This window comes from Homo sapiens, chromosome 16 (genome assembly GCF_000001405.40).
Source record: "Homo sapiens chromosome 16, GRCh38.p14 Primary Assembly".
Classification (NCBI taxonomy): Eukaryota; Metazoa; Chordata; class Mammalia; order Primates; family Hominidae; genus Homo; species Homo sapiens.
The window spans coordinates 17834156-17842006 of record NC_000016.10 but is presented as its reverse complement, the minus strand read 5'-3'; the positions used below and the strand labels follow the sequence as shown (position 1 = coordinate 17842006).

The 7851-nt window shown below is 44.6% G+C and overlaps 1 annotated feature.

The window, feature by feature from the left end:
* Positions 4260–5459: an enhancer, noted in NCBI's record as "P300/CBP strongly-dependent group 1 enhancer chr16:17930405-17931604 (GRCh37/hg19 assembly coordinates)". NCBI's record gives its function as "activates an origin of replication core promoter dependent on BRD2, BRD4, P300/CBP, MED14 and CDK7 cofactors, with strong dependence on P300/CBP, by STARR-seq in HCT116 cells {active_cell/tissue: HCT116}" and the evidence as "EXISTENCE:reporter gene assay evidence [ECO:0000049][PMID:35650434]".

Below are 7851 nucleotides of genomic sequence, written 5' to 3'. Positions count from 1 at the left end.
CCCTCTTCTGTCTCATCTCTAGTAACTAGGTTTCTCATGGTTCTGAGATTTATCACACCCTCTCCTGCCCACATTTGCCCTTCCACATCCTGCTCTCTGGGCAAGGCAACCCACATAATACCATCTTTCTTCAAATGTGTTAGTGTTGATGACTTAAATATACTCAGCAAACTTCCCACTGTTTGCTCCTGCCTCTCACCATGGATGTCTTCAAATAGCTCATCCTTCTGGAAGATTTCCTTATCTTCAATTCGATTATTTAGCTGATAACCCTACTGTCACTCCCAAGCCCACTCAAGTTTCCATGCCTCCCCACCCACTGGTTACTACTGCTCTCTCCCTGTCATCCCTCATGGAGTCCAGCACAGTGCTGAATCATCAACCTAGCCACAGGAGTCTTGTAGTCAGATCCTATCACCCCTCCCCTTAAACCACTTTGGTTGGCGGCCAGGCGCGGTGGGTCATGCCTGTAATCCCAGCACTTTGGGAGGCCAAGGCAGGCGGATCACGAGATCAGGAGATCAAGACCATCCTGATTAACACGGTGAAACCCTGTCTCTACTAAAAATACAAAAATTAGCCGGGTATGGTGGTGGGCGCCTGTAGTCCCAGCTACTCAGGAGGCTGAGGCAGGAGAATGGCGGGTGAACCCAGGAGGCGAGGCTTGCAGTGAGCCTAGATCGCGCCACTGCACTCCAGCCTGGGCGACAGAGCAAGACTCCGTCTCAAAAAACAAAACAAAACAAAAAAAAAACGCTCTGGTTGGCTTCCATTGCAGTTAGAATAAAATCCAAACTCCTTCCTGCAGCCTACAAAGTCTTGCCTGGGCAAAGCTCTGCCTACTTCTCGGACCTCATCTCCTACCTGCCCCTGCTAGCTCACTGTATCGCAGTCCATGCACCTACTGCGTGTTGACTGGACACACCCAACCTGTTCTTACTCCCACATCTTGGCCTTGGTAGGATCCGTCCCCAGAGTACGTTTTCTCTCGATTCTCTTTTAATGGCTCCTGCATGTCACAGAATTAAATATCATCTCTGCAGAGAGGCCTCACCCAATCACCAGTACAAAGTAGCCCGTGGCAGGTCTCTATTGCACCACCTGCTTGCTTTTTTCTTGGGCACCGATTATGAACCTCTGTCCTCTTGTTTGCGTGTTTATTGTCTGCCCATCCACCCCACTCACAAGCAGAACTAACCTTCCCAGGAACAGAGATCTCACCTGGTTTGCTCACCTGTGCATCCCCAGTATCTAGACCAGCACTAGTTAAGAGTCGAAGTTCAAAAAATACATGTTGAATGAGCCTGTCAGGTCAGTTAGCACGCAGATTTCATTAAACAGAGGTAACTTAGGAATTCAAATTATTATGCATAAATAAAGCACACAACTACATATTTGGCTCTCCCTGTCCAGTTCCTTTCCAACTCATGAAACACAGCATGAATAATATATTCTGATTTTTTTTGATTGAACTGTCAGCATGATTTATTTCATAGCATCTTCTTCTCTCTCCCTTTTGTAAATAATGGTGCGTCTGCAGAGCTTTTTGCTAACATTTTTCTTGCTAATTTGTCTGGGGGGTGGGAGGATGATGGCATTTTTTTTTTACCCTCTTATAATGGGTTCGGAGGACACTTTTTTCTGCATAGCGTTGGGACTCTAAAAAATCAAGGTTATACAGTGCATTGATTACTCGCTGTTTTACAAACCGGCTCAGACTCATTTCACAACTTGAGAATAATTCTAATTGGAAATCACCTCCTTTAAAACCATCAGATTAATGGTATTCCCATTACACTTCCTGCCCAACCATGTGAACAATAGAGCCTGAACTGCAACTGCTAGAATTGTGCATCAAAGTAAATAATGCACTAACGAGACAGCAATTTCATTCCTCCTGTGGAATTCCCCAGGCATTTCTCCTTCAAGAGGCCAGGATGGGTTCAAGGCAAATCCCTCTGGACCGTGCAGGGTGACTGGAATGAATGTGGACCCCTGAGTATGGAAGATGGTGCTTGTAGGATGTGATACGCATTCTTCAATCATTGTAGTATTTTTGAACTCTCATAGACAACCAGTACGGGGATGAGGAGACATCAATAATTGCTGATGGGCTTGTTAGACTCTCTGGCACTAATATTATGTGAGGTGTATAACACATAATATATTTATGTATCAAGATTAAAAAAATGGAGCGTCACTTCCTACCCACCCTCCCTCCTCTTCTTTCTCAGCTCCCACATCTCATCAAACACAATTGTCAATTTTAGCTCCTAAAATATTGTTGTTTTGAATCTTGTCCTTTCTCTTCATCCAGAATTCATTTCCCCAGCACTAGCCTCCTGGATGCTATTTCTGCCCCTACACCAGTAGCGTGATTCCTGGCAGTATATTAGGATTGTCCGATGAGCTTTTAAAATATACCGGTGTCCAGACTGCGCTTCCAGAGTGCCTGATTCAATTGGTCCAGGGTGAGGTCCTGGCACTGGATTTTTAAAAATTGCTCCCTGGTGAGTCTCCTGCGCAGCCAGAGTTGGCAGCCAGCACTGGCTTTGCGTAGCAAACAGCAGGGTCTATGATAAAGCCCGCCTGACTGTGCCATCCCCGGCTTAGAAACCAAGACTGCTTCTGGGTGCCTTCAGCGTGGAGTGCAAGGTCCCTAGTGACCTGACACTAGCTGGCCTCTGGAGCCCCATTGCTCCTCTTCCTTCTCATGCTTTGTATAGTCCAGCAGAATGGCTGCTTGTCTTTCTTGAGGACAGCCTGCTTGTTCACACCTCATGCCTTTGCACACTGCTGCTTTGCACCTGCAATGCCCTTTCTCCCTGAAACCGCACGCAAGTGGTGTTTAATTTTTCAAAACCTGCTTTAGATTTTGCTTCTTCTAAGTCCCTCCTGAGTTCCATCTCTCCTCTGTGCTCTTATAGTTTTGTTGCATATCGGCCACAGGTTATTGTAATTGACTCAAATTTGTACGAGTTTTCTTGTTAAACCTTGAACGCCTTGAAAGCCAGGGCTACATCTTATTGATCCCTATGACCCCAGCACTAAACACTGTGCTAGGTACACAGCAAAGGCTCTATAAATGCATATGATTATGTCCCAAATGGCGGTCCCAGAAGATGTGCTCATTCCTTTGCCCTCAAGTCATAGTCCCTTTAAAGTTTCCAAAATATAGTTCCATAAAGATGCGTGGAGGCAGACAGTCCACGAAAAGTGAAATTGAATTACAGTATTGTTGTGAAATGAAAAAAAAAAAAAAAAAGGCACGTAGCCCTGGATTGAAATCCTGCGTCTACTACTTACTAGCTGTGTGGCCTCAGACAAGTTACTGAACATCTCTGAGCCAGAGTTTCCTCATCTGTAAAACTGACAATCATATCTAATTTATAGGACGGGAATAAAGATTAAAAGACAGAATGTTAGCAATGTACCTACCAAGAAGTCACATCATAGAATGGGCAAGTGCTTAATAAAAGATAAATCAGGGTCCCTTATCCTTACTTCGTTGCCCAGTTTGTTTGTTTTCTTTTTGAGGCAGAGTCTCACTTTGTTGCCCAGGCTGGAGTGCAGTGGCGTGATCTTGGCTCACGCAACCTCTGCCTCCCGGGTTCAGGAGATTCTCCTGCCTCAGCCTCCCAAGTAGCTGGGATTACAGGTGCCCAGCAGTATGCCTGGCTAATTTTTATATTTTTAGTAGAGATGGGGTTTCACCATGTTGGTCAGGCTGGTCTCGAACTCCTGACCTCAAGTGATCTGCTCACTTTGGCCTTCCAAAGTGCTGGGATTACAGGCATGAGCCACTGTGCCTGGCCTCGTTGCCTGGTTTTAATCTTCTTGGAAAAATCAGTGATTAAGAAACTACCCCTAAATAGCAATCATCATCATAGGCAATAACAGTTAAGCATCTTATTATCTTCTTGCCATTTTGCATAGGACTTTGTGTGCGTGATGCTACTGAATTCCCAGGGCAGCCCCATGAGGTTGGCACTACTTTTATACCCATTTTATGACTGAAAAAACAGAGGCTTTGAAAAACCCTAGAGGCAAAAAGGGAAAGATGGGCATCTAAACCAGGTGGGCAAATCTCTTTCTGGAGCTCATTACACTGCCTGTCCCACCCATCTCATTCTATCAGCTACCTTTCTTCTGGGGCTTTGTTGGATTGTGTTTAGGTAACAAAGAATAATAATAGAAGGGCCACCTGACTGGTTGTCAATATGAAATGAATCAATTGTTCTTTGTATTTTGTCTTCCCTCCTCCAGCCAAACCTTGAGAACAAGTCTGGAAACATTTTGCATGTACTGGCAAACAGGATGGTGAATTGACAACACTTCTTGTTAGTAATTAGGGCATGGTAATGTGCTCCTTTGGTAATTAGTGCATTAAGGTAGCATAGATTGTATCGCTTACAGTGATTGAAAGGTATGGCAAGCTCAGAACATTATTAACATTTGAAGCTGGAAGCTGCTGGGAGGTAGTGTAGTGTGGACACTACGAGGGCTGGAGGGGAGTCGGAGGCCCTGGGTTCTTGGCCTGGCTGTGCCACTTATGTGCTGTGTGAGCTTGGACAAGTCACTTGGCCTCTCTGGACTTCAGTTTCTTTGGGGGTAAAATAAAGAGATCCGATTCTGGTGTGTGAAGGGAAGAGAAGGAAGAAAACAGGAGATGCTATCAGTAAAGACCTTGGCTAAAAAAAGAGATGAAGCTGATTCATCCTTGCTTCCACCCCTGGGAACACAAGGACTCCCCAGTGGGTGATGCGTTTAATCAGGGTAATCTAGGCTGTGCTGTAAGAACAGACTAACCCAGAAATGTTAGTGGTTTAGCATGACAAAGGCTTACGTATCACTCACGCAAATTCCAAAGCTGGTTAGGCAACTCTATAGGACCGTCTTTTAGGTGATGACTCAGAAATGTAAGCTGCTTTGATCACATGGCTTCCAGGTTGCTGCCACAACAAAAGGGACTGTTGGAGGGTCTTGCAGTGGCTCATGAACGCATTAGCCAGAAGTGACACGGAAGACTTCTACTCACAATTGATTGGGCGGTACTAGTCACACGGCCCCACCCAACCTTGAAAAGAGCTGGGAAATGTGGGGAAGGTACAACTCTACCAGGGAAAGAGAGAAAGTGAGCACTTACTAAGAGCTTCCTATATACTCGCAATTGATTGGATGGTACCAGTCACACAGCCCTACTCACCTTGAAAGGAGCTGGCAAATGTGGGGAAGCTACATCTCTACCAGGGAAAGAGAGAAAATGAGCACTTACTAAGAGCTTATATGTTCCATTTGTTCTTCACTATCTCTTCTATCATTCTTATTTTCCACATAAAGACATCGAGTCTCAAGAGCTTAAGTGTAAGTGCAGAAATTTATACTCTTAGGAATTTGCTGACCTGGAGTTCTAGCCCAAGTTGCTGATCTCAAAGCCCAAGCCCTTTGTACCTTTGCACAATGTTTAAATGTAGTTATAGGGCCCTCCTAGCCTGGATGATCCTGGGACTGCCCTCTTCTTTGAAACTCTGTACCTCTCATGTCCTTAAATGAAATCCCTTGCTAGAACACAAAACAAAACAAACTCAATTTCCTTGGTGGATTCATATATTCAGTATACTGTATTATGGAGGTTTTGTTGATTCAAATATTTTCTAATTGATGTGAAATACTGCCTTATGAAAATTCTTTGTGCTGTCCTGTAAGATTAGGGGAGAAAAAAGAAAGCCACAGAGCCTGGATGTCTTAATCTCATAGCAGCACACAATGGGTTAAAACTCAGGGCAGAGGAAGAGTTTGTGATTTTTCCCGGTCACAGAGAGATGAGAAATAAAATAGGGTGCTCTGGATCCCTGTCCTTTCGTCTGTTTCTCCTGGGATGGGCAGTGGTATCCAAGGTGCTAAAGAAAAAATTTCAAGGAGTGAAAGATGTCACAGAAGACTAAATGCCATGGACAGCTGTGGAGATGAAGGGACCCATTGAATGTGGCAACACAGTGGCTATCGGTGACTTTTGCCAGAGCCACTTCAGTGCAGTTGTGCAAACAAAGACCTGATTTAAGGATGCAGAAAGAAGAGGTAAGGAAGTAGATAGAGATGGTGGGTGTAGCATATGCTTTTAAGAGACTTGGCAGCGATAAGAAACAGGAACCATGGCAGGATCCTGAAGAAGAACAAGTAAGTGCTTAATTAAATTTGTTGATTGAGTGCTTTTTTTGGCTTAGCCAGTTTAGTTCTTAGTTACTTCCTGTCCATTAGTTTGATTGCTACTTAGGGAACAGGAATAGGTTTTGTTATTGGCTATTTTAAGTGGTAATTTATGAAGGTCAATCTACTGAAAAAAAGCCCATATGTATCATAGAGTCCGCTGGGGATTATTTGGAAGTTACTCACTGTTTTGGATGATGCAGGACACTGCCTTGAACCATTAACACAGATAATTAAATGCTGGCTCTAACAGATGAGAATTCCATTCTTTTGTTAATCATTAGAGTGTGTGGTTGTAAGCATGCACTATGAACCCCAGTGGTGCAGCATACTAGCCTGTAACCTTGGACACATTGCCTAGCCTCCTCTGTGCCTCAGTTTACTCATCGGTTACCTTGGGGACAATCATAGAACATGCTGCAAAGGAGTATTGGCAGAATTGGGTGAGTTCATGCGTATGAAAGGACTAGAAGGGTACCTTGCACACAGTAGGTGCTCAATGAAATGGTGATTGTGTAAATATTTGTTGAATGCCTACTGTGAACCAACATGGTTGGTGGCATTGGGGATGTAAGTGTAAACAAGATAAATGTGATCCTTGCCTTCAAAGCTTTCAGACTAGTGATGTTACAGAGAAGTAAACAGGCAATTCCAATATACTGTGACATGTGTGAAGATGGAGAAAGTACACAGTGCCATGGAGCATATGAGGGGTACCTAAGATAGATTTGCAGAGGTGCAGAGAAGACTCCGTCACAGAGGCTGTATCCAAGGTAGGTGTGATGAATCGAGAGATGCTGCTTTGGACCAGGGAAGAAAGGAGGAGCTTACATCCACTCTCGTCCCTCTCCAGCTCATCTCCCACACCATCAGAGGGATCTTTTAAAAATGTAATTTGAGCCTCCTTAGAGTCTTAATAGCCTCCCATGGCATTTGCCATAAATGTGAACATTCTTAGCACAGTCTTTAGGATTCTGCATCAGGCTTCTCCTTTCTTGGGTCTTTTCTCTCACTAGCTCTTATGTGCTCTGGGAAATTCTAACCATTTTTATTTTTGAAATGAGTCGTGTTGCTTCCCTCCCCACCCTCTTGTCTAAGTTCATCTCTACCCATTCTTTATATTTCAGAGCACTGGTACATCCTAAATGGCCTTCAGACCACGGAAGGGGCCCCATCACAACACCCAGCTTCCTTATTATAGCACATAGCCATTTATGTACTTGCATGTGTGACTCTACCTCTCCCAGTGGGGTGCGAGCCCCAGACAGACAGGGATCTTAAATATTTTTATCCATCTTAGACTCTAGCACTCAGCACTATGCTGTGCAGAGTGAGCCCTCCACAAGTTATTTGCAGAAAGAAGGAAGGCTCCTTGAAGGTGAGTGTGATTTTAAACTGCGCACTCCGCAAATCCAAAGGCCCAGCAATGCTCATCACAGATTCTGTAGTAAACATCAACATCTGCCTTCTTGGTGCTGCGTTCGTGTGCCCAGACGGTCAAGCACATGGCTACCCACTCTCACCTTGCTGAGAGGTCAAGGGACTCAAGAAGACCAAGTGCTGGGGCTTCAGTAAAGGAATCCAAGTGGAGCTGGAGAGCAGGATGGATGATAGGAAGGCATCCTGGGTCATTAGGTGCACAAT